The sequence below is a fragment of the Homo sapiens genome, chromosome 11 (genome assembly GCF_000001405.40).
Source record: "Homo sapiens chromosome 11, GRCh38.p14 Primary Assembly".
NCBI lineage: Eukaryota > Metazoa > Chordata > Mammalia > Primates > Hominidae > Homo > Homo sapiens.
The window spans coordinates 41329454-41357318 of record NC_000011.10 but is presented as its reverse complement, the minus strand read 5'-3'; the positions used below and the strand labels follow the sequence as shown (position 1 = coordinate 41357318).

The following is a 27865-nucleotide window of genomic DNA, read 5'->3' as shown; positions in this document are numbered from 1 at the left end:
TAACAGTAAATTAAAAAAATTATCTACATATTAACCATTAGACAAGTATTATTTTCATTCCTAATTTAGATTAAGAGCATTAAGGTCAGAGAGATTTCCATAACTTGTGCCAGTTTATTACTCTTGGGATGATGACTAATGTAGTGCTACTGCATAGTTTCTCTCTCTCTCTCCTTCTCTTTCTGTCTTTCTTTTTAAATTGGCCTAAACTACAGTTCCAGTCCCAAAGTGTGTGTAGGGTGCAAATAAATGCTGTTGGTATTTTTTTTTAATTTCTGGGTTAAACAAGGTAAACAAATCACTTGAATTCAGGATCTCTCACAGATTATTAACATGCTAACTTGCATTCATGTAATCTATGGAATCACTCTTGTAGAACTCCTTTTCAGCAGAACATATTTGAGGGAAACGTTGGCCAGATGCTTTCTCTTTTGTATTATCACATCAATAAGTATATCATTCTAATGGCATAACACTTCCAAAAACACATGTAAAAAAATTGGCATGCTTTGGGTGTAAGCTTGGCTAAATTGTAGAAAGTTCATCGGTAGCAGATAGACTATTATAATATGCAACATTCAGACAAAACCAGGAGAGCTTAGACCAATGATATCAGATCACCTAGTCCAGAAGTGTGAACTGTCTGAATTCACAGTGTCTAACATCCCACTTCCTAACCCCTTCTCTAGGAGGTCAAGTTGAAGGATGGAGGATTAAAGTCATGCCAAAAATGGCACTAGAAGTCCACGATCCAAAATGTAGAAGAGTATTGTATGTGAGTCTAAGGTTTAAGATCAGGTGGTCTGAACCACCTAACAGAGACATAATTCTGCAGCTCCTGCCCTACACAATGGCACTGTGGTAAGATGGTGATTAGGGCCCCTTACCCATGAGTCATTAGTCCTGGTCTATAGTCAGCCTGGATTCTGGAGGAAGGCGTGTATGTCTTTTTGCAATTTAACTGCCCCAAAAGACTTTTTTTGTAATTTTTACAAAGACACAGTGTGATCTACCAGTAGATATAAAATCAAGAGGGCAAATTGTTTGAGATCACATCTGGTACCTATAACATCATTCATAATGTTTAACTTGCTGTATGCATTTTTTGATAAATGTTTTGGGAATGGGTGGGTCTAGCTTAATTACTTGAAGAGGAGAAGTATGCAATAGCTAACTGAAATGACTAGCTAAAAACAAAGATGATTGAATATATCACATACTGTTGGGAGCTATTAATTTTCTGTTTATATTTTCAGAAACAAAGTTCTAGTTTTGCAAAATAAGGTGAACGCTATAAACTCATAGCCACTAATGAAAACTTATTATCATCCTCTTTTTTAAATATGGAAGCCAGCTTGGTTTTGATAATATTTCTAGCTATGTAAATACTTGAATGTTGGTAGTGTTCATCTTCAAATTTGGTTTGACATATTAATTAGAATATATTTTCACATTCTCCTTAGTAGAAGTTTGCTAGTTTAAGAGCTTTAGGAATGTATTCTACTATGATTCTTTAAAAAAACATGAATTATCTACAGGTTGAATTGTATGAAATTGTCAATATTTAACCATTTTATCCCCAAAAATGGATACTGTACATAGCTCAATTAAATAGAAAACATTTAGAAATACCGTATGTGATATTTAGTTTATTTAAATTACCACCATCCACCAGAAAAAAAGAGTTAACAACAACATGGCTTTGGAAGGACAAAAATAGGTCATTAGTATAAACAATCCATACAATATTTAACTATCCCTGAGAATGCCCTCTTGATATATATACAAATTGGGAAGAATTAACAACATGAATAGTGGCTTTATTCACTTTTAACATATATTATAATCACTTTTAGTATAAATATGTTTAAATTGTATAGGTGGGAAACTACTACCTTTGCATTTTGCATAGCGACACACTTATCCATGTCCTCACATTTTTTAGGTTTGTTTCACAGAGTAATTTTGGTGGATAAAATTTAGACTCATATTTCTGCTCATAATTGCTCTGTGAAAGATGAGATGTAGTTGTTTTCTTTCCCCTTCTTTTTGTTCCCAAGTTGATAGTTATTTTTTTCTCATGATTAGGGATGCTGAGCATTTTTTCATGTTCTTGGTCACTTGTATGCCTTCTTTTGAGAAATGTCTGTTCATGTACTGTGCCCATTTTTAAATGGAGCTATTTGTTTGAGTTCCTTGTACATTCTGGATAGATCCTTGTCACATGCAGAGTTAGCACATATTTTCTCCTATTCTGTAGGTTGTCTGTTTGCTCTGTTGATAGTTTCTTTTGCTGAGCTGAAGATCTTTAATTAGGTCCCATTTGTCAACTTTTGTTTCGGTTGCAATTGCTTTTGGAGACTTTGTTGTGAAATCTTTCCCAAGGCCTATGTCCAGAATGGTATTTCCTAGGTTTTCTTTTAGGGTTTTATATTTTTACATTTTATGTTTAAGTCTTTAATCAATCTTGAGTTGATTTTTATATATGGTGAAATGAGTACAGTTTCAAACTTCTGCATATGGCTAGCCAGTTATTCCATTATTTATTGAATAGGGAATCCTTTCCCCATTGCTTATTATTGACTTTGTTGAAGATTAGATGGTGGTAGAAATGCAGTTTTATTTCTGGGTTGTCTAACCTGTTACATTGGTCTATGTGTCTATTTTTATAACAACATCATGCTGTAGTATAATTTCAAGTTGGGTAGTGTGATTCCTCCAGCTTTGTTCTTTTTGCTTAGGATTACATTGGCTATTTAGTCTTTTTTTCCCCTGATTTAATATGAATTTTAGAATATCTTTTTTTCCTAATTCTATGAAAAATGAAATTTGTAATTTTATAGGAATAGCATTGAATCTGCAATTACTTTGGGCATCTGACCATTTTAACAATATCAATTTTTCCTATCCATGAGCATGGAATGTTTTTCCATTTGTTTGTGTCATCTCTGATTTCTTTCAGCAGTGTTTTGTAATTCTCCTTGTGGAGATATTTCACTTCCCTAGTTACCTATATTTCTAAGTATTTTATTCTTTTTGTGGCTATTGTGAATGTGATTGTGTTCTTGATTTCGCTCTTAGCTTGGATGTTATTGGTGTATAATGCTACTGAATTTTATACCTTACTTTTGTATTCCCACACTTTACTAAAGTTGTTTATCAGTTATAGGAGCCTTTGGCCAGAGACTATGGGGTTTTCTAGGTATAGAATTATATCGTCTGCAAAGAGAGAGAATTTAACTTAGTCTTCTCCTATCTTGATGCCTTTTACTTCTTTCTCTTGCCTGATTGCTCTGGCTAGGACTTCTAGTAAAATGTTGAATAGGAGTGCTGACAGTGGGCATCCTTGTCTTTTTTCATATCTCAAGGGGAATGCTTCCAGGTTTGCCTGTTCAGTATGATGTTGGCTGTGGGTTTGAGATAGATGGCTGTTATTATTTTGTGGTACATTCCTTCGACTCCTAGATTGTTGCGTTGTTTTGTTTTTTAACATGAAGGGATGTTGAATTTTATTGAAAGAGTTATGTGTCTGTTGAGATTATCATGTGATTTTTGTTTTTAGTTCTGTTTATGTAATGAATCACATTTATGGATTTGCATATGTTGAACCAACTGTGCATCTCAGGAATAAAGCCTACTTGATTGTGGTAGATTAGCTTTTTGATGTGCTGCTGGATTCCATTTGCTAGTATTTTGTTGAAGGTTTTTGCATCTATGTTCATCAGACATATTGGCTTCAAGTTTTCATTTTAATTCTATCACTTCCAGGTTTTGGCATCAGAACAAAGCTAGCTTCACAGAATGAGTTAGGGAGTAGTCCCCCTTCCTTGATATTTGGGAATATTTTCAGTAGTATTGGTACCAACTCCCCTTTATACATCTGGTAGAATTTTTCTATGAATCCATCTGATCCAGGAATTTTTCTTATTGGTATGTTATTTTTTAATTACTGATTCATTTACAGAACTCATTATTGGTCTGTTCAGATATTAATTTCTTCCTGGTTCAATTTTGGGAGTTTGTATGTTTCCAGGAATTTATTCATTTCTTTTAGGTTTTCTAGTTTGTGTGCACAGTGGTGTTCATAATAATCTCAGGATTTTTTGTTTTTCTGGGGTCGATGGTAATGTAATTTTGTCATTTCTGATTGTGTTTATTTGGCTCTTCTCTCTTTTCTTATTAGTCTATTTAACAGCCTATCCATCTTATTTATTCTTTCAAAGTACCAACTTTTGGTTTTATTGATCTTTAGTATGGATTTTCATGTCTTGATTTTCTTCAGTTCAGCTCTGATTTTGAGTATTTCTGCTGAAAAAGTCTGCTAGCATTGGGGTTGATGTGCTCTTGTTTTTCTCGTTCTTTGAGGTGTAATGTTAGGTTGTTAATTTGAGATCTTTCTAAGTTTTTGATGAAGGAGTTTAGCACTATAAACTTTCCTCTTAACACTGGTTTGTCTATGTCCCAGAGATTCTGGTGTGTTGTATTTTTATTTTCATTAGTTTAATAATTTTTTATTATCTCTGACTTAATTTCATTATTTACTCAAAAGTCATTCAGGAGTAGATTGTGTACTTTCCATGTAATTCTATGGTTTTGAAAGATCCTCTTGATATTGATTTCTATTGTTATTGTGCTGTCTTCCAAGAGTATGATTGGTATAATTTTATTTTATTTTTTTAACTTTTTGAGAATTACTTTATGGCTGAGTGTGTTTGATCTTAGAGTATATGCCATGGGAAGATTAGAAGACTGTCTATTCTGTTGTTCAGTTGACTGTTCTGTATATGTAGATGTCTGTTAGGTCCATTTGGTCAAGGGTCAGATTTAAGTCCCAAATGTCTTTGTTAGTCTTTCCATTGATGATCTGTCAAACACTCTCAGTGGGGTGTTGAAGTCTCCCACTGTTATTCTGTGGTTATCTGTGTCTCCTGTTAGGTTTCTAACAACCTATATTATAAATTTGGGTACTCCAGTGTTGGGTACATAAATATTTAGGATAGTTAGGTCTTCTTGTTGAATTGAACCCTTTATCATTATGCAATGTTCTTCCTTGTCCTTTTTGATAACTGTTGGTTTAAAATTTTTGGTCTATTTTGTCTAAAATAAGAATAGCAATGCCTGCTCTTTTTTGTGTTCAATTTGTTTGATGGATCTTTCTCCTTTATTTTGAGCTTCTGGGTGTCAGTGAATGTGAGATGGGTCTCCTGAAGATAGCATGTCGTTACATCTTGCTTCTTTATCCAACTTGTCACTCTATGCCTTTTAAGTGCCACTTACATTTAAGGTTATTGTGGGTATCTGAGGATTTTATCACATCATTGTGTTGTTAGCTGCTTATTTTGTAGACTTGATTGTACAGTTGCTTTTTAGTGTCAGTCATCTATGTACCGAAGTGTATTTATTGTGGTGTCAAGTAATGGTCTTTCATTTCCATGTTTAGCATTCCCTTAAGGACCTCTTGTATGGCAGGTCTGATGGTAACAAACTCTCTTAGTGAAAGTCTGAAAAATATTTTATTTCACCTTTGCTTATCAAGCTTAGTTTGGATAGGTATACAATCCTTGTGTTTTTTAAAATTTATTTTTAATGCATTTTAAATGTATTTTTAATGCATTAATGCATGTTGCTGAATATAGGCCCCCAATCTCTTTTGGCTTTTAAAGTGTCTGCTGAAAGTTCTGCTGTTAGCCTGATGGGGTTCCCTTTGTTTGTGACCTGCCCCTTTTCTCTAGCTGCCTTCAGTATTTTTTCTTATGTGTTCATCTTGGAGAATCTGATGACTATGTGTTTTGGGGATGGCTGTCTTGCATACTACCACACAGGGGTTCTTTGAGTTTCCTGAATTTTCATGGCAACCTCTTTAGTGAGGATGGGGAAATTTTTGGATACAATATCCTTCAATATGTTTTCTAAGTGGTCTACTTCATCTGCTTCCCTTTCTGGGATGCCAATGAGTGATAGGTTTGGTCTTTATATAATTCCCTATTTCCCAGAGGCTTTTTTCCCCATTTTTAAAAAACTCTTTTTTTGTCTATGTGGAAAATGTATGTGTGTGTGTGTGTGTGTATGTGTGTGTGTGTGTATGTGTGTGTGTGTCTCACTCACCCAGGCTGGAGTGCAGTGGCATGATCATACATAGCTCACTGAAGACTCAATCTCTCAGACTCAAGCAATCCTCCCACCCCAGCCTGCTGAGTAACTGAGATTAAAGGCACACACCATGGTGCTTGGCTAATTTTTAAAAAATTTTTAAAAGACACGAGGTCTTGTCCTGTTGCCCAGGCTGATCTCAAACTCCTGAGTTCAAGCAATCCACCCTCCTCAGCTTCCCAAACTGCTGGGATTATAGGCATGAGCCACCACACCCAGCCTCTATATTTTTGTGTGACTGAGTTGATTCAAAGATTCAAAGAACCAGTCTTCCAGATCTGAGTTTCTTTGCTCAGCTTGGTCTATTCTGCTGTTAATACTTCCAATTGTGTTATGAAATTCCTGTAGTGTGTTTGATAGCTCTAGAAGATTAGTTTGGTTCTCTCTTAAAATGGTCATTTTGTCTTCTGATGTTCTATGACTTTATGGGATTCCTTAGATTCCTTGGATTGATTTCAACTTTTCCCTGAATCTTGATGATCTTCATTGCCATTCAGATTCTGAATTATATGTCTGTCATTTCAACCATTTCAGTCTGGTTAAGAATCATTGCTGAGATGCCCATGTGATGGAGGTTAATATTTCATCTCATTTTTATCATGGTCTATATGCACAGATTGAAAACATTTTTTCTTTCTTTCTTTTTTTTTTTTTTTTTTGAGATGGAGTCTTGCTCTGTCGCCCAGGCTGGAGTGCAGTGGCGCAATCTTGACTCACTGCAAGCTCCGCCTCCCAGGTTCACACCATTCTCCTGCCTCAGCCTCCCGAGTAGCTGGGACTACAGGCGCCCGCCACAACGCCCGGCTAATTTTTTGTGTTTTTAGTGGAGACAGGGTTTCACCCAGTTGGCCAGGATGGTCTCGATCTCCTGACCTCATGATCCGCCCACCTCGGCCTCCCAAAGTGCTGGGATTACAGGCGTGAGCCACTGCACCTGACGAAAACATTTTTTCAAAAAGATCTTATAGGTCAGTGGTTCTCAAAGTGTGTTCTGGGGACCTCAGATCTATACAGGTAGTCACTGAGGTCAAAACTATTTCATAATAATACCAAGATGTCATTTGCCTTTTTAACTTTCATTCTTTCACAAGTGTACGGTGGAGTTTTCCAGAGGCTATCTGACTTATGACATGTGATACTGCAAGAGACTGACTACAGAAGCAGATATGAGGATCTGGCTGTCTTTTATTAAGCCAGACACTGAGGAGATTTGCAAAAATGTAAAGCAATGCCACCAGAATTGTTTCTGTTTTGGAAGAATTAATTATGTTTTATTTTTAAATCATATGTTAACATATAATGGATCTATTATTGTTCTTATAAGAATTAATAAATACTTTTAAATATTTCAAAGAAAAAAAAGAATCATTGCTGGGGACCTAGTGTGGCTGTTTGGAGGTAAGAAGACACTGTGGCATTTAGAGTTGCCGGAGTTCTTACACTGGTTCTTTCTCATCTGTGTAGGCTGATATTCCTTTAATGTGTGAAGTTGCTGTCCTTTAGTTGGGGCTTTTTGCTTGTGTATGCTTTGATGGTCTTGATGGTTTGACTGTGGTATAAGTTGAGTTTAGTCAATTAGCTCCATTTCTGGATGATTTCAGGGAACCAAGGCTCAGCTCAGCATTCCTGGGCTGTGTGCTCGAACCCTGAGGGGCTGAAACCAGGCCCATGTTTTTTGTTGTTGTTTTTTTGTTTTGTTTTGTTTTGTTTTTTTCCTCCAGCCCCTTAAGTTTAAGCATATGCTGCACTGGAGGGGTTGAGGTGTTCCCAGTCCACTGGCACCAACATTCCAAATGTTGGTGATGGCAAAAGTGCCTCAGTGTGGTTGCAGCATGTCTTCCATGCATGTGCACCAGCAAAGTGGCTGGGGAAAGTTGCAGGCAAGTGTGTGCTGGCAGGGGAAGGCTGAGGTTGGGGTTACAGTGGAAAAAGAATGCCTTTAAAAGTTCTCTGGCTATTAGATAAGGTCTGCCAATGGTGGCCACTGGCAAGCACCTTGGCTGGGTAGTCAAGGTCACACTACAAGAATGAGAATGTGTGACCAGGCAGGGATGCTGGGAAAAGCTGGCAGATGGGATAGTACTCAGATCAGACTGACCCCATCCTACAGGAAAGACAGCCCTACTCTGTCCAGGTCCAGCAGCCAAGAAAGTCTAAAGCCAACTAGAAGAATATGACAATCTTTGGGGTATGGGCACCCGTGGCTGTGCTCCACTGCAGCTGTTCCTGTGTCAAAGCCTCTGGGCTCCACGCAGACTGGAGTTCTGTCTCTGCTAACTATCTGGGAAGTTCTCCCTGCTAGCTCAGATGTATGTGGGGGTTGTCCAGTCTCCTGCAGCTAGAATTTTGGAGGTCTGTGGTAATAGTGGGCCACTCCATGCCTATTTCGTTGACCCCTTCCCCAGGAGCCACTCAGGGCCAGAAAGGATTCCTAGTGCTTGGCAACTTTGTGCAGAGTTTCCAGCTTTCTTCCCTTTTAGCTCAGGCTCTGCCTCCTCCCTCCATCCATTCTCAATGACTTCTTTAGGAGAATATGTTCAGGGTGTAACAGTCTTCTCCATAGTCTGGTCTTCTGCTGGGAGACGCTCTTCCTGGCTGTATCTAGTCGGCCATCTTGGCTTCACGCCCGAGGGCAACACTCTTTCTTTCTTATTCAATTCATGTCATGTTAATTTTCAAAGGTCTTTGCTTTTCCTACATGGAATTAGTTGAAAAAGCAGGATTATATTAAATCTCTGGTAGACAGCACAACTCTATTTTTTGTGTTTTTATTTTATTATTTTTTAAATGCAGAGCTCCTTACCTTTCTGAATTCCAGGAAGACAGCAACACTTTTTATTTCAGTTTTTGACTTCTGACCACCATGAATTGAGTTTTGGCTATGTTTTATGGAATGGAGTTATTTTATAAACACATTGTGATGGCACAATAGACATTTACCTAGAAGCAGTAAGAGAAAACGGTGTGCCTTCACTAATGCCTTACAGAATTCCTTTGTCACTGCTGAGAAATCTCTCAATAGCTTAGGTAGGAAGTAGTAGAAAACAACTCATAGGCTTGAAATTCAAGAGAGATAAGAGTTACAGTTTTCGTTCTGTCATTAGGGAAGATTTTGTAGATACTTATGTAAATGATGAAGGTTTATATAGTCAGACAATGATCAACAGAATGATAGATGCCATGACCAAATCACCCTACAATCCCATAAGCTACTCTTATGTCCTTGGGAAGAACACTTCATTTTCCTTGGCTTCATTTTCATCATCTGTAAATAATTAGTACCGGTGGTTCGGAAGCATTTTAGCGTAATCAGAACCTTTTTTAAGTTACCTATGCAATCTTATGTGATTCCAAGATATTGCAAATATTATAAAGCTGAGAGACTGTCTCTGAAATGTGGATAGGAGATAAACTCTCACTGCTCACCACATTGGCTGCCTGGGGCAACTTTATGCAACACGTTTTAAAGGTCATTTTTATCAACATCTTTATGTAACTCTGCATTTTAAAAATATTTTTATCTCATTTGTACAATCAAATAATATTTACTTTCTGTACTTACTACCTTTGTATATTGATAGAAATCGATTCCATCCATGAAGAAATGATATCTACAAAGTTCTCTGAAATTTTGTATTTTAAAAAAAGCAATTCACCCTTGAAATTTGAAAATTTAACATCTGCAGCCTTCTTTCTTTTTGAAGCACATGATCAAGTGGTATTTGTACCCTAGAGAGTCAGGGATGCCATAAGACCACTGTGTGTGCACTGAGTGTGACATCCATTCACTCCCCTGCCTTAGCTCTTGAAAACTAAAGCTCTCCTTAAATGCCTGTATTAACTTAGCAAATGAACACTATAGTTCAGTAAGTATACTAGAGGCAGGGTATTAAGGCAGAGAAAATGCAATTTTAAAAATCTATTCATTATGAAAGGGTGAATATAGATCCTCCTGTGCTATAACTCAAGCGTTTCAGCCAGAGAGTTTCCTCTGATGGACCCTGCAATGCCATGTGTACTACCATAACGTGTGGAAGGTAAGGTGTAAATAAACTTTCCTTGTAGATACATATGGTTTCTTTCCTTTGAGTAATGGGCATGTATACATTTCAAATTAATTAAAATCAAACCTCTTTTAGTTTTCCTGTGCTATATGAATTGTATAATCCTCAAGGCAAGAATAGAATCATCTGCATTTTAAATATTTGCATGCACCATGACATATTGCCTGGCATTTACTATAAATTCTGGATTTTGAACTTGAGAGCAATTGATTAATAATTTACTGTGAACTTTTAGCCCACATGGCCCCTTTTTAATTTGTTTTTAATTTGGTGTCCCAGTTGGTACTTTAGTTGTCAATCAGTATAAGATGAATAAGAGTACCACATCCAGCCAAGTTTGGAATGCTATGTTAAACAAAATTGAGTAGCACTCAATAATGCGGAACTTTTTGGAACCTTTTGAAAGCTAAGATGCCTTGTGAAATTCTAATAGGGGAGTGCATTTGCAGTATTTTGCAGACTTTTTGACTACAGAATTATGTTTTTCTTCTAGGATATCTTATACAATTAGTACTCTGAAAAACATGTTTACAATAGTATTGGTTTGATAATTTTTCAAGGAAAACCCATTTTAGGATATCATCATTTTTTAAATGTATCCCAATCTAATCTCACTGAAGTTAAAACAGAAAATGGGACCAGGTAGAAGTCTATTTTGTTATTTTTCTGCTGGAGGAGTGAATGGTAGGAGGAATCATCTTAGTGAGAATTCATAGTTAGATAATTTTTTTATGTTTGTTTATTTATTGCTTCTTCAGGGAGAAATGTGTCTGCTGTCTTCACAGGGTGTCTGATTACAAGTGCAGAATGAGTAGAATGGATTTAATTTTTCATCCAAAGGGTGAGCAGTTTGCATTTTAAGGAGCACCACCTTCTACATCACTTTAAATATTAACGACTGACACTGCGATTCCTCTCTTTAATGTGCTTTGTTTTGGTGCTTGGCCAAGCCAGGAAGATGAAAACTCCCTTGGGGCCTGATATAGAATATAATTTGTTCTGAAATTTTGGTGGTAAACATGGTAATAAATTAGAGGGTGTAATGAATATGTATAGAAACACCCAGAATCCTCCTTCTATCCATGTGTTCCTTAGAATACTTAGTTTGTCACCCCTACAAATTCTGGAAAAACATATGTATAGGCTATGGCCATCAGAGTGACCTTAAGCTCACTCTTCATTTTTTAATTCAATGTTTTTATTTAAACATGTATTTGATATGGTTTATTTTACAAATACCTTTCTGAAACATCTAGGTATTATAGAATTCATCAGGAAGCTAGCTTTTTTTCAGTCTTTTTACCTGGAGTGCAAACTTCTCTGTGACTCTGCTTCTATCGTATCTAGTGCGGAGACTCTGAAGGAGGTGAGAGAAATCTGTAGGGGCTGGATCCGATGGGAACTCCTAGGTCATGATACCTACTTTAGAATGAAGAACCACTGCAAATGGCAAGACCATTGGTTGGTTTAAAGGGTCAAATGATTTTACCTATTTTGATTCTTAAAAAATATTTCTAACTTCTTTATAGATAATAGGCTATGGGAAATCAAAAGAGAAAACCAGGAAACAAATTAGAGGCAGTTGTTGTAGCCCAGCCTAATAATACTGGCAGTTTAGACTGGATCCTACAAACTATGATCACCATAATGGTAAGATTTCTATTTTGTTAACCTTTGAATATTCATTTATCAATTAGCATCCTAAAGACCATGGCGGAATACATTTTGTTTTATTTTTTAAAATACAGTACAGAATACATATCGACAAAGATAATTAACCTTCACCTCTGCTACCAATCTTCTTCCATTTTTCCCTCTCTGAGTCAGAGATGAGTGTGTGTCATAAATTGTCTTCAAGTGTAGGGATATAGTAATTAATAGGACCGTCAAATTTCCTACTTGGCTCTCCAAAATTTAGTTAAAAAGAGAAAGAGGTAAAACCAAGTACAACTGTCAAATCAGCCATCTTTTCATGAAAACATAGCTTATTTCACCAGAATTTTCATCATAACTATTGTCCAGTGGCCTCTGCTTTGTTTAAGAAAAATTATATTTCTGGGTTGAGAGGAATACACAAACCATCATGGGTTAATAGTCAATAGTTCCCCAGGAAACAGGGGAAAAAAAAACAGTTAATAATGATTCTTAGTTTAAGTTGCTGCAAAACTTCCAATGCAACGACTATCAGAGGCAGCAGTTAATTGTGTCTAAAATATTCCTCCCCTCCACTTGCTCTTGGTTTCCAAACATACAATTTAATTTTCAATTGAACGTGTTCAATTAACCACTTACCCATTTTGGATTAAATAGCCAGTATTTATTGAACCATTTTTATTCAGTGCTGTTCAATGTGAAAACATAGAAATTTAAGATATGCTTCTAGCTTCTCAGGAGCATTCAATCTAGCTGAGAAGACAAAATCTTAAATAATCTTGTCCATGTGTGTGCTATGGGCTATCCCTTGCATAAAGCAGATGAACAATATGCTTGTTATTGTTTGTTTTGTTTTAGTCAAAACCAACCACAGGCACTATAAAAATGGAAAATAATGGAAACACATTGATGAGTTAAGATAGAAAGGCTTTGGCCGGGCGCGGTGGCTCACGCCTGTAATCCCAGCACTTTGGGAGGCCGAGGCGGGCGGATCACGAGGTCAGGAGATCGAGACCATCCTGGCTAACACGGTGAAACACCGTCTCTACTAAAAATACAAAAAATTAGCCAGGCGTGGTGGCGGGCGCCTGTACTCCCAGCTACTCGGGAGGCTGAAGCAGGAGAATGGCATGAACCCGGGAGGTTGCAGCGAGCAGAGACTGCACCACTGCACTCCAGCCTGGGTGACAGAGCAAGACTCCATCGCAAAAAAAAAAAAAAAAAAGAAAGGCTTCACAGAGGAGCAAAGAGTGAATTGGTATTGGGAAAATCACTGGGCTCTGGAAGCGGAAGACATGGGGAATGGGGATGTTCTCTCAAGGCAGAGGAAACACTTCTGATCTAGGGCTTGGTGTGCAAGTGAACGACACAATCATCAAAACGAATCAAAGGCATTTGTTGCACATCAGAGGAGAACATTTTGTTTGCTCAGATAATGGAAGGCTCTGGAAGCAGCAGAATGACTATTAAATGTGCTAAAAATTTAAGAAGTTATGTGCTCTGATTAGCGGAAAGTTTTACATTTTGTTTTAATAAGATTCAAAGTAAATATGATATGCTAATTAGAGAGAAGCATAAGTACCTCAAAATTTATTATCTAATTGGTTTTGGGATAACAATTGACTTATTTCTTAAATACTTTGTTATAAATAGGGACTTCTTTCCTGGAAAAACATTCCATATCATAAAAACACCAAAATTCATTACAATACATGAAAAATAAATATGTGATTTTATTAATGTGCATTAGTAAGTGGAATAAAACTGTATTCAAGCTGCACTGTAAATATTCTCCTTGGAAGGTTTCATTTTTCCTACTGGGTTGGACCAGCATATCTTTTAAAACACAAGACTAAGCATATTTGTTGGAAGACTCTTTCTTCATTTCCTGATTAACCTATCTATAAGAAGCCAAGGTCTTCATTGCTTTAAGTATATTGGAATTATATCCAAAGATAATCGAATTTCACTTAAAACTCATCATTTCAGCATGCATACATGGCCCGGAAAATATTCGAACAGTAAATTTTGGTAAGGAAGGACATTTTTCAGTGGCTACTGTTTTGTTTTGTTTTGTTTTGTTTTCTCTTTAATCATCCCTTGCTCTTCCCTTCCAATAAGAATCAGTTGAATCACCACTCACTTCACTGTTATCAGGTAACTTGATGCAGAGATGTTTGCAGATGTTAGGCAAATATGCATCTACATTTGGTTCATCATTGGTACTGTGGGTTGAATTGTGGTCCCCAAAAAGATATGTCCAACTTCCTAACTCCTGGGATCTATGAATGTGACCATCTTAGAAAAAGGTTTTATACAGATATAAGTAAGTGAAAAATCTTGTGATGAGATCATCTTGGATTAACTGGGTGGGCCCTAAATCCAGTGAGAAGTGAGAGAACAAGAGAAATACATAGAGAAAAGGGCAATTTGAAGACAAAGGTAGAGACTGGAGTTATGTTAACACAAGGAAAGGTTGTCACCACCAGAAATTTGCAGAGGCAAGGAAAAGTCCTCATATAGAGACTTGAAAGTTAGTGTAATCCTCCCAGCACTTTGATTTGAACTTCTGGCCTCCAGAACTTTGAGAGAATACGTTACTGTTATTTTAAGTCACCAACTCTGTGGTACTTTTTTACAGCAGCCCTTGGAAACTAACCCAAATGGGGTGAGGCTTGTTTATGACAAAATACACTGTAAGTGAGTTTTTTGTTTGTTTGTATATTTGTTTGTTTTTGAGATGGAGTCTCGCTCTGTTGCCCAGGCTGGAGTTCAGTGGCACAATCTCGGCTCACTGAAACCTCTGCCTCCAGGGTTCAAAGGATTCTCCTACCTAAGCCTCCTGAGTATCTGGAATTACAGGCGCACACCACCACACCCGGCTAATGTTTGTATTTTTAGTAGACACGGGGTTTTGCCATGTTGATCAGGCTGGTCTCAAACCCCTGACCTCAAGTGGTCCACCCCCCTCAGCCTCCCAAAATGCTATGATTATGGGTGAGAGCCACCGTGCCCAGATGTAAATGAGTTTTTGATTTAACTTTAGTTGAGGGTCATTTCTAAATAATTCCAGGAAGAGGTTAGAAAGCCTCTATGTGGAGAGCAGAAAACCAAAACTAAAATATTGCTAGGGATACCACCTTTCAATACTGAATTCTGTATATGTGGTGCCACCACATGATTAATGACCTAATAGCATAATAGACCTGTCTGAACTAAGATAGTCTAGGAAAACAACAGCAGAGTGTATAGTTGTGTAATAACTGTTAATATTTTAGGCAGTGTTGTCACTCATGGAGCCAATGGTCAGTAATAGTGGAGGTAACTGTGTTAATATTAATAGTAACTGTGTTGTTTTAAGAAGATACAAGGCTTCAATGCCTCACCTATTCAAAAATGTTTTTGGAATGTGACTTTGAGAAACCAGGGGTGAGGTTCATGAAAAGTTAGGTCAAGATGACTCTCTATGTCCCAGATATTATAGATAACATACAGTCAATTCTTAACTATCAATAACCAGATTATCAATGCCTTTTATTATGGTAAGTTTCTAATCAAAACGTGAGTTACCTGGTCAAAGCCAAAGACAACAGAGCTATATTTATTTACTAGTAGGAAAATATCTCTGCTGAGAAGATAGAGATTATGGCCAGAATCTTCACTTCGGGCATGGTTTACCTGAAACTATGTTGCAAAGTGGATTTCTGTAAAGTAAATTGTATTTTTTCACTGAAATGCTATTATAATTGGGGCTTGCATTCTTTAGCCTCATGCTTGGAAAGATGAGCAGAAACTTTATTTACATGGTCTTTTGTTGATTCTGCCTGTGAGCTTCTTCATAAGGTAGATAACTGAGAACTGATGCTATTTTTAACATGACACACTTTTAGGGAAAGTGGTTAGTAAATGAAAACTCCATTGATTCCAACTAATGGGGGGAAAAGCAGGCATGGTTCTTATCTTGAAGGAATTTACATTATTCTGGAAAAAAATGTAGAAAACAGTCATTAAATTACTACAATTGGTGAAGTATGAAGGGCAATACTCAGGTGCTGAGACAATATGCAACCGGCAGAACCTCGCCCAGAGAATGATGATAAGGAAAGAAGTCATTTTATTCTTCTTCTCTCAGATGAGTCTCTGATGATCTATTTTTTAGTTTTTTTAATCGAAAACACTTACAGTATATTTTAAATTTTCTCTCAAAGAACTAGGTCATTCTAAGTTCACTAAAGAGAGCTATCAGTCTTTTTCTCTGGTACTTGTTTTCTTAAGTAACATCCTCACCTAACACACTATTACTTTCATACCTAGATTGCCTTCAGTCCTTGTTACAGGACAACATCATCACTTTCACATATAGGTAAAGCTGCTTCTTTTACTTTGTTTGCTAACCTTTTCTCTCTCTACCTTCCCATTTATTTCTTCTTCGTGCAAGCACTCCTCCCAAGACATCCACTGAAAACAGGGAGGTTAATTGAGAGGCAGACGCAATCACAGCCTCAAAGTTACTAGATTGCCTTTCTTCTGGAATCCTCAACCACAATGAATTGCACAGTTTCGACTTGCAAAAATCCCAGAATTGAAATAGGTTTTAGAATCAAATCTATCTAATAATATTGGCTAGTATTTAGTAAGTGCACACCATGTGTGAAGTACTCTCCTTATAACACTTAAATTTTCTCATTTAATCTCCACAACAATGCTATAAGCTCCATCTTTATTGCCATCTTTATTTTCTAAAGGAGAAAACTGAGACAAATAGACTCTAAGTAACTTTTCTTAGGCTCCATTACCAATAACTGGCAGAGGAAGATATGATCCTAGGTCTCTGAGTTTCTTTGGATAAGGGCCCCAAACACATAAATGCTATAGCCCACCACTTCCTCATCTAAATTAGTCTCCTCTTTTACTAATCTATTAGTTTAACCAAGAGGGCTACACATAAGGTTCCCTAACCAAGAGTAATGCAGAGTTGAAACTAGATCCCAAATTTAACTTCCGATTAAGACTTTATTTGTGATTAAAGTCCTGGAGATTCAGGGTGCCTTATGCCCCATATACTCTCATGAAAATTTAGTCCAAGTTTTGCAAAATGCTACAAAAAGGAAAATTGAAATACATAAGATTTAGCTTGTTAATTCTTCTAATCTCAAGATTTAATAATGAGCAATCCTATTTCTTTATGTAGAATTTTTTAAAAGAAAAACCACACAAAAATCAAAATCTCTGCTTTGCCTCTAATAAATTATTTTTATAGGGTTGGGAAAGCCAGTCAATTCTTTCGTCCTCTGTGTTCTCATTCTGTAAAAAAGATGAGCGAAACTTACTTCATAGGATTAATACGAGAATTAAAAAAGATAATGTAGCCCATACAAAACACTGACTACAATAATTACCTTCCTCTTCTAAACTTTTTCTTTTATTAACAAATATTTAGGAAATATTTCATAAAGTTCTGGAGCCCTTCACATATATTTAGTCTTCCCTCAGGATTTTGCCTTTTTCTGAGTTAAAACCCATTTGTTTGACCTTCACTGAGGCTGGAGACTAGCAGGTAACTTTGTTGAAATATGACTCAATAAATAGGAAATACTCTTGATTTTTGGATATCTTCTGATGTTATCTGTAAAAATTCTGAGGCATAGATTTTGTACTCAAGATTTCTGTAGGGAAGAGAGATGAACATATTCTGGTAAAATAGCCTATATAACCATTACTCCAAGTGCAAAATATATTTGATTAGCTCAAACTGTTAGGAACATGTATTGCTTAAAAAATAAATTGGATGTAATTTTTTTAAATGCGTTTGAGTCATGGTAGCATTTTAAGATCTCCGTCTCACCCCCTGTTCCCATGGAAATTAAACTGGGCAGAGGGTGCTGAAGAAATGACTCCTATTAGACAGGAGAGGGATGTTTTTTTTCCTGCTAGTTTCTAGCTTCTAAAAGTTTCTGTTGTATTGGTGTGAAAATCTGCAAATGACCTTTGCATTTCATTTGGCCTATTGCTGGTTTAGTCATAGACAAAGCTTACTAAGAGTTACATGAAAGTTATGTCTTCAGGGATATAGTTGATATATACAGTGCCTATCCAAAAGCAAAGGAATTCATTAAATAATAATCTGTGATTCCTTGTGAATTCTTCCAATCTAATGACTTATTCAAGGGCAGGGCTATTTATTTAGGTAGAATCTTGGTAAAAGTAAAGATATATGAAAGTTTAAGTTATCATCTTCATTGTGCCTCTAATATTTTACCTCTGTAGCATCTAGCAATATCATAAAGTGAAGACCAATGAAGTAGTTTCTATACTTTCCCTATGTTTGATAGCATTGTGAATCTAGTATTTCTATAAAATAAATAGATGCCTTTGTCATTTAGAACCATGATGCATCTTTCAAACATAATAATCTACCAGAAGCTTCCTAACAGCCCAATTTGTTCAGCATTTTCTATGTGTTACTCTTTTAGTTGTATTATTCGTATTTCATTTTATTTTATTTTATTCTAGTAGCAAGCTCTGGAGGGGACATTTCCATGTCAATATTACAGAAAAAAATCTGAATCTATGGAATCTGTTGTTAAACAATGTGCCGGAGGTCATTAGATTTTTTTTTAGAGAGTAGGAACTCAGATTTTCATCCATCTTACTACAAACAAATTGCTTGTTTGCTTTTTCTATTTTGTATTTGAAATGCTCAATACAATGCCAAGCATTTATTTTTTAATTTTAATTTTTATTTTTATTTTACTTTAAGGTCAGAGATACGTGTACAGAACATGCAGGCGTGTTACATAGGCATACATGCGCCATGGTGGTTTGCTCCATCTATCAACCCGTCATCTAGATTTTAAGCACCATATGTGTTAGCTATTTGTCCTGATGCTCTCCCTCCTCACCACCTCCCGACAGGCCCCAGTGTGTGTTATTTCCCTCCCTGTGTCCATGTGTTCTCACTGTTCAGCTCCCACATCTGAGGGAGAACATGAGGGGTTTGATTTTCTGTTCCTGTGTTAATTTTCTGAGGATGATGGCTTCCAGCTTCATCCATGTCCCTGCAAGGGACATGATCTCATTTCTCTTTATGGCTACATTCTATTCTGTGGTGTATATGTACCACATTTTCTTTATCCAGCCTGTCATTGATAGGCATGTGGGTTGGTTCCATGTCTTTACTATTGTAAATAGTGCTGCGATAAACATATGTGTGCATGTATCTTTATAGTAGAATGATTTGTATTCCTCTGGGTATATACCCAGTAATGGGATTTCTTGCTGGGTCAAATTGTATTTCTGGTTCTAGCTCCTAGAGGAATCAACACACTGTCTCCACAATGGTTGAATTAATTTAACCATTTAACCTACCAACAGTGTAAAAGCTTTCCCATTTCTCCACAGCCTCAACAGCATCTGTTGTTTCTTCATGTTTTAATAATCGCCATTGTGATTGGGATGGGATGGTATCTCATTGTGGTTTTGATTTGCATTTCTCTAATGATCAGTCATGTTGAGCTTTTTTTCATGTTTGTTGGCTGCATAAATGTCTTCTTTTGAGAAGTGTCTGTTCATATACTTTGCCCATTTTTTGATGGGGTTGTTTGTTTTTTTCTTGTGCATTTGTTTAAGTTCCTTCTAAATTCTGAATATTAGACCTTTGTCAGATGGATAAATTGTAAAATTTTCTCCCATTCTGTAGGTTGCTGGTTCACTCTGATGATAGTTTCTCTTTCTGTGCAGAAGCTCTTTAGTTTAATCAGATCTCATTTTTTAATTTTAGCTTCTGTTACAATTGCTTTTGGCCTTTTCATAATGAAACCCTTGCCCATGCCTATGTCCTGAATGGTATTGCCTAGGTTTTCTTCTAAGGTTTTTATGATTTGGGGTTTTACATTTAAGTTTTTAATCCATCTTGAGTTAATTTTTATAAGGTGTAAGGGAGGGGTCCAATTTCAGTTTTCTGCATATGGATAGCCAGTTTTCCCAGCACCATTTATTAAAAAGAGAATCCTTTCTACATTGCTTGTTTTTGTCAGGTTTGCTGAAGAATGCCAAGCATTTAGATGCTAATCAGTTAAGTTTTGTTTGTCTTTAAGATTTAATTTTTTCCAGGTGCAGTGGCTTACACCTGTAATCTCAACACTATGAGAGGTCAGGGCAGGAGTATTCCTTGAGGCCAGGAGTTCAAGACCAGCCTGGACAACATAGCAAGATCCTATCTCTTAATTTTTTGTTTTTAGTTCGCTGGGCATGGTAGCACATACCTGTGGTGCCAGCTACTTGGAAGGCTGAGTCAGAAGCAATGCTTGAGCCCAGGAGTTGGAGGCTTCAGTGAGTGGTGATCATGCTGCTGAACTCTAGCTTGGGTGACAAAGCAAGACCCTATTTCAAAAAAAAAAGAAAAAGAATTTAATGTTAATTTTTTATGAGGCTTGTTTCTGGTAGTGTACATTCCTCTTCTGCTGCTATGAATAGTCATTTTTTTCTCCTTTTTATGTCTTAGTTTCCTTTGTTCATTCCATGCCTCTGTTTCTCTGTGTCTGATGTGTTTATTGCATTAAACTATTTTAAGGATTAAATGAGATGGTGTCCATGCAAGGACTAGCATGGATCCCAACATAAAAGTCATGTTGAGTAAATGCTAGTAACCTCTCTCATTTGGGGTTGGTGCCAGCACCTTCTTGCTTGTCCTATACCTCTGAAGATCAGGACCAGCCATGGCAAGGCCAAAAGGAGGGAAGACATGAAGCTGGGGACTTTAATTTCACTTCCCTTAAATGAAGAGGACTTTCACATTTCCTTCACTATTAAAAGCCTCTTTGTTCAGTCTTCTGATAGCTACACAGTAGGAAGGGTGAATGAAAAGTGGATAGAGGACCAGTGCAGAAATCCCCAAACAATGCAAAACATCCACACTTACTTGTAAATTCATTGGTAAAACTAGTTTGCTTCTTTCTACTATACTTGACATTTTGGTGGTAGTTTATGGCCCCCGATATTTTTTTTTTTCCCCACCTTTTATTTTTTTTTCCCACTGAAGATTCTTGAGGAGACTGAGATTGAAGGAGAAGGGTTTGCATATACACTTTTTTTTAAACAATTATGTGTTCTTAAAATCTGTGTAAAAATTCTAACCTTTTCATTGTTGTAGATTAATACTTACTTTGATTATAGTACAGGAAGACCTTACTTTTTTTTTTAAAAAAAAAGGAAAGTCTATAATTCATAGTGAATCATCTTTTAGGGTAAATCTTTTAAAAACTCATTAAATTTTCTCTCTTCAATGAATTCTGAGTTTTATGTGTTGGATTTGCTTCAGGAAAGACTTCATCTAAACTAATTTGTATAGTCATGTTTGCACAAGGCACAAAGGGCTCAGTGGCAAAGCCTGAGGGATGCCAGATAGGAAAATACAGACACTCAAATATAAGAAATAGACTACCTTTGCTCCATAAATAAATGGGTCTAAATTTCTGTTTCCCATGCCTGGCCATTCATTTCAATCGTTAAAGTGTCTACAATTAGCTAGACACTGTGTGGGAATACAAATATGGATGCCATGCTCCCTTTCCTCTAGGGCTGATAATTTAGTGGTGTGACATACTTGTGCAAATTTAAATAAAATACAATACCAAAAAGAAGCTTGGAGAAGAGAAACAAAGATCAATGGGAGAACGGAGGAGAGGGAGATTGTAATGCATCTGGGAAGTTTCATTTACTTATATATTCATTCATTTGCTATACAAACATTTACTGCAGACCTATTATGAGTCAAGATCTATTATTGGTGCAGGTGCTGGACATAACGTGAGAAATATATGATAGGCAATTAGTAAGTACTCATTGAAAACAGGAATGAATAAACATGTAAATATAGAATTTCTGCCCTTAGAAATTCTACCCTCTATGGAAGAAGCACACAATAAAAAATGCATTAAACAATTTCAGGCAATGGTTAATGTTACAAAAAAATTAAAGCTCAGTAAGCAGAGAATAAAGATGGACAGGTAGTATTTTTGACATCTTACAGTTTCATGGAGTCATAAGCTTTCAATCTGGATGTGAATGGTGGGTAACATTTTGGTAGGAAGGAATGAAAGTTGAAATTCTTTCCCTTAAACTCTATTCATATACCCTCCACACATTTACTACTCTAATATTTTTAGTTTACTGGTCTGCTTTTACCAATGAAATGGAATTTCTAAGGACAGAGACCATGTCTGACTTATCTTTATATTCCAAGCACTATGCTTAATATGTATTAGGTCCTAATAAACATGTTTGGAATCAGTTATCAATAAGTGATGGGGCAAAAATAAACAGAGATACTCACTTGGTGTGGCTGCATTTGAAGATTTTGAATAGATTGGTATAACTGGATGTTAGGTGTTTGGAGGTGTTACCAGGTGGTGGAGTATAGTATTGAAGACAGACTAGATTGGGACCAGACTGAAAACTGATGGCCTGAGAATTAGATTGAAAAATTTGCATTTAAGTGGGGAGTCACTGAGTAAGATCCTCTGACAGGAAAGAAACTCTTGTGTGTATGTGGTTTTTTGTTTGTTTGTTTGTTTGTTTGTTTGTTTGTTTCGTTCTTTGGAGACATGGTCTTTCTCTGTCACCCAGGCTGCAGTGCAGTGGAATGAGTGCATAGCTCACTGCACCTTCAAACTCCTGGGCTCAAGCAACCCTGCCACCTCAGTCTCTGGAGTACCTGGGACTGCAGGAATGCACCATCACACCCGACTATTGTTTTTTTAAAAAAATTATTTATTTTAATATTTGCAGAGAGAGGGTCTCACTTTTTACCCGGACTGTTTTCAAATTCCTGGCCTCAAGTGATCCCTGACTTCAGCCTCTCAAAGTGCCTGAATGACAAGCATGAGCCACCATGCCTGGCCTCTTGAAGAAGGAAAATCTTAGTGTTATAATTGCCCCCAATAAGTACCAGACATCTAACACCTGCCAGGTGCTAGAAAATCAAGTACTTAATCAGTTAGTCATCAATTTTAAAGGATGTGCCCAGCGTTTGAAAATAGAGAGTAAAGGAGAAGGAAAAACCTAAAATAGCTTCAGTTTTAAACCTGAAACAAGTGTGGGAATGAAAAAACACTGACTGGAATAGAAAACACAGGTAAAGGCTGCTGGTTGCCAAAAAGGTATTAGGAAATCTTCTTGAACTGACGAGTTCAAAGAGGTACAAACCTTTCTGCAAAGCCAGCCAACTGCAAGTTTTGTAACACAGAACTATATATACTATGCTATGAAATGAGCAAAAACAGTACTTAGAGTTTGGAGAAGTGCTCAAGTTTTCTAGAGGCTTCTCTCTGGTTCCTATTCCACGCCTCTTACGATAACCTTCTAGCTGCACATCTAGGCTGTGTGTCCTTACACCTCATGATTGGCTAAATAAGCCAGAGGGAGTAACATTTTTATGAGGTTTGGAGAGATAGCCAGATGTGAAATTTTCTAGAAAACAACCCTCTGAGATAATTATAGTTGAAATACAGAAGTAGGGGTTGGGGGAGAACTCAAATAATAATAATGAACTTTTTAAACAAATGTTTCTCTGCTTGCTTATTGTTATAGATTGACACATAAGATTAATATTTCTAATTAGCATTTGCAACCAACTGCATGCTACCAACCAAAGAAAAGCAGATTAATGATGATGTGTAAAAATAAATTTTCAGGCTGCAAAATAAAACATGTAAAATAGCCAGATTTTACTACCCATGCTGAGAAAAGTAGCATTAATTCACCTGCAAAAATATCACTGAATAAAAGGCCATTTAGCTCACTTGCTTTAATGCCACTAATAGACAAGGTAAAGCTGTTAAGGGCAGTCAGCAAGTACCTACATATTTAAAGGGAGGAGGGCTTTTGAATAATTCCATACTCTTGAATTTTAGTTTGAATGTCTATTATTGCTGGTCACATATCCCTGCATAAATTACATAAATGAATGTCTGGTCTTGAAACTTGAGCCAGATGGAATTTATCTGATGAATAATTCCTAAAATACGCAAATATGTAAAGCTAACTGTACATGTTATTTTGAAAGCCTTATTATTGATCTTTTAATGATTTCACTGATATTCTAGTTCATTCTAGAATAAAATAATATAAAACTGAGTATGCAGTATGATTAAGGGAGAAAAAGATCAAGACCTCTTAGCTAAGTGTTCTACTTTGAAATTTATTTTGACTGATGCATTACAAAATAATAGACATTATGCCTTGATTCTTCAATTACAAAGCATTTAGAGAAAATATTTTTCTTTTAATACAAAGAAACATCCTCATTTGCTTAGCTTGGCTTTTTCTGTATAAAATACCTTAATTTGCAATTCTTAGTAATAGTTTTCTTCTTTCAAGTGTTTCCCCTTCAAAAACAGAATAAGACATCTGCATTGTTTTTTTAAATGAACATAATTTTGTCTTCTTTTTTCTCTTGAATTCAGAAACTTTTACAAGAGAAGCTGTTGCTTTGTTGATTTCAAAGATAGTTTCAGCCCAAGACCTAGGCTTATAGGAAGAAGTTATTCTGAGTCACTACTTTGAGCAGAGATGGACTTTTTATTCATGTAGTATGCCTTATATACTAGAAGAATCAAAATTTGCTAATTGCCAAAATGTGTTGAGGTTAATTGCTAAAGATGCAAGAATGAGGCAAACCCCAAGTTGCTAATAGAATGCTGAACCGAAGTTCAAACCATCAGACATTAGAAAAGTTCGCACAAGTGAAAGATACCATTGTTGAAAAGAAGGATAAAACATCTTCATGGGATAAAACAACTTATGAAATATAATTATTAATAGACTTTTTACTACAGTCTTTTTGTGTGTGTGTTGGAATATGTCATAAGCAAGAAAAGAGTTTAGTGTATTTTAGTCTGAACATTCCAAACGGTATCGAGTGCTGAAGCTCTTAGGAGTTTCCTTTCTGGCACAATATGTTGGTTTGGTCCCCTGATATACAACTTCAGAGAGTTGGAGTGGCAAAGGCATGCTTACCTAGAGCTTCATTAGGAAACCTTGCACATTGCAGATTTTGCTTTGCTTGTGGTGGTAGCTGGGCACTTATGAAGAAAGTTATTTTTAAAAAAACCCTAAAGTATTATATTATTTAAATGTATCATGCTTACACAATTGACATGAACTCTAGTTTGTGCTTGTTATAAAATTGTATATGTTTGTTAATTACTGCTGAAATTATTCATCAAGCTTAATGAGGCAAATTGGGTATCTAGTAACTTGGGCTCTAATCCTAAATGCCTCATTCCACATGACACATACAATTCAATAAATATTTACTAAGCTTCGACTCTGTGAAAGGTACTGTTCTAAGTCCCGGGGTTATGGCAGTGAACAAGATGGAGAATGTCTCTCATTGAATGGATTTTACATTTTACATAGTAAACAACAAACAAATACATATAAGGTTAAGAAGTAATATGTACTTTGAACAATAATAAAAATAAGGGGTTATCATGGGAGTGCAGGCAATTTTAGATAGAGTGGCTGTCAGGCAAGGTCTGTCTTTGGAAGTATGTTGAGAAGATAACAAACAAAAGTTAATAGTTCCATCAGCACGTGTGGTACATTTAAGTGTGTTAGCAAAGATGTCCCTTCTTTTTTGTGTTGTAGATCTACCCTGGGGTTCGTTTGTCAGTGCCCAATATTTAGGCTGTATTTCATCCTGCGTTTGACTTCACTGTCAAGTGCCTTTGTGTAGTGCCTAAACCCCACAACTGTATGTTGTAGCCATGGAAGTGAATAAAAGTATGAGAAGATCCAAGTGAAAAGATTGTCAGGCAGAGGAAACACCTAAAGCAAGTGCCTTGAGTTGGATATAAAATTGGTGTATTAAGAAACAGCAAGATGTCTACTGTGCTGGGAGCAGAGTGAGTGAAGGGAGGCGGCAAGTTATTCTCAGTGAGCTTCAGGATACTCACATTTAATAAAATAATACTTGGCGTGATTTTCCATTTATCCTTTCATGCATGCATTAAAAACTATGAAATCTACATGTATTGGTTAGGTTTCTTTGTCGGTGGCAGATGCCAAGTGTGGTTTCTTTAATCAATAACTTCTGAGTAGATACTAATTAAAATTTTAGGAAGGATATAAGTGCTCAGAAGCAGCAGAAAGTTGAAGAACAAGCTTAAAGTGAGTAAAAAGCAAGACAATGCTGAAGGACTAGGAAGGAATAACTCAAGGAAAGAAGGATCTCATAATGGACATATTTTGTTCAGAGCCTGAGGGAGAATTGCATGAACTGTAATTATTTTTGGATTTGTGTTTGTTTATTTTTTCTTCAGCTCAGGACTTCAAGATAGAGATTTTCAGTAGAACTATGTTGGACCCTCTGCTTATTCAGCTAAGGAAGTACCAGGCTCCCTACTATAATCCCAGTAGATTTTATCCAAGGAGGAATCATGCTGTCATTAGGAAGAAAAATGAATGTGGAACAGCCAAATACCAGACGGAGCCATAGGCCAAAGAGAACAGTAAGCATATAAGACATATAAGACACATATACATATAAATTTATTGTCTTTCAGAGGGTTTTAATAAGTTTGGAGACTAATGTATATATATACTTGTAAGATAAGATTGGGGACTAGTGTACATATATACTTATAATCTTATTAAAAGTATATATTAATATGTATTTATAATCTTATAAAACGTATGCATATATACTAAAAATCTTATTAAAACTACACTGTAGTTCCAGTTACTTGGAAGGCTGAGGCTGAGGTGGGAGGATGGCTTGAGCCCAGGTGGCCGAGGCTGCAGTGAGCAAGATTGCACCACTACACTCCAGTCTGGGCGACAGACTGGGAGACCCTGTCTCAAAGGAAGAAGAAAAAACAATCTGCATCTGAGCAGACATTCAGGGTGTTCATATGAAGGGGTGAAGGAGGTAAATGAGGACCACATGTTGACGGCATCTAATGTCATGATACATTAGATTCAACATTGGGTAAATAGTTTTAAACCCTAGCCACTCAACAATTTAAATTAAAGAAAAATTGTAACACTTTCCTTAATGTTTTCAATTTAGACTCATTGATAATATAATCTATTGACACAGATAATTAAAACAAAACAAAACAAAAAAGAAAAAAACAAAATAGTGCTCACAACAGTAATGAGAATTCAAATGAGGGATGGTAATTTGTAACAAAAAAGATATGTATTTCAATATATAAATCCTCCTGCACAGTTACAATAAGGAAGTAAATAGTAAGAAGCTCTTCCCTCTACCCAGACTCATGAATGTAACAGTTGCAAATGCATACTGATACAGATGTGTTGCATTGGTGACTCCATCAGTACTGCCTGCATGATTGCATGGATACAATTTGCCTAAATGGTGAACCCTTCTTGGCCAAGTTCCAAACCAACAAAGTTTGATTTTCTCTATTTCTCTCAGGTATTAACCTTCTGGAAAATTCAGGTACAGGGTGCAATTTGATGTTTTCATGTAAAATAGAATGAAGGTCCAGTGTTAGATAATGATATGTCTGCTTTCCACGTGCTCAGTGTTCAGTGGGTTTTCTAGAGTCCTGCACCATTGGCACAATTCCTCCTCATGTGGAATTGTCCACGCACTGTGAAACTTCTATCAGCCCTGCCCATTAAATGTCAGTAGAGTCTGCCATCACTATGACAACAAAAAAGCTCCACATTTCCAAAACTCACATTAATGGGTAGGATTGCACCCTTTGAGAACTTTAAGTGGACATAATGAGAGAATGGGTGTAACTAGATTTGCTTTATTATAAATGCCAATTTGGAAAAGAAATCGCAAGGAGTAAGGAATCAGAGACTGAAACTAAGGCAGTAATCATGAATATAAAGAAAGGGAGACATATTTGAAAAACACCACAATGTGGAGACTGATTGGAAGTGAAAGCTGAGGGAAAAGAAGGATTAGAGATGTTTGGATCATGGTTACATTTTGTAGTTAAGTGACTGGTGACATT

The 27865-nt window shown here is 36.4% G+C and overlaps 1 protein-coding gene across 17 annotated transcripts in view; it reads left to right on the top strand.

Moving 5' to 3' along the window:
• Positions 1-27865, top strand: part of LRRC4C (leucine rich repeat containing 4C) — a 1345454-nt gene that overhangs the window by 102334 nt on the left and 1215255 nt on the right. The window contains exons 2-3 of one of the 17 annotated variants that reach the window (XM_047427350.1): positions 10973-11055; positions 11744-26380. The exons of the other annotated variants lie outside the window; for them this stretch is intronic. The gene's annotated coding sequence lies outside the window, so the exon portion shown is untranslated. The remainder of the gene's footprint in view (positions 1-10972; positions 11056-11743; positions 26381-27865) is intronic. 17 annotated transcript variants of the gene reach the window in all.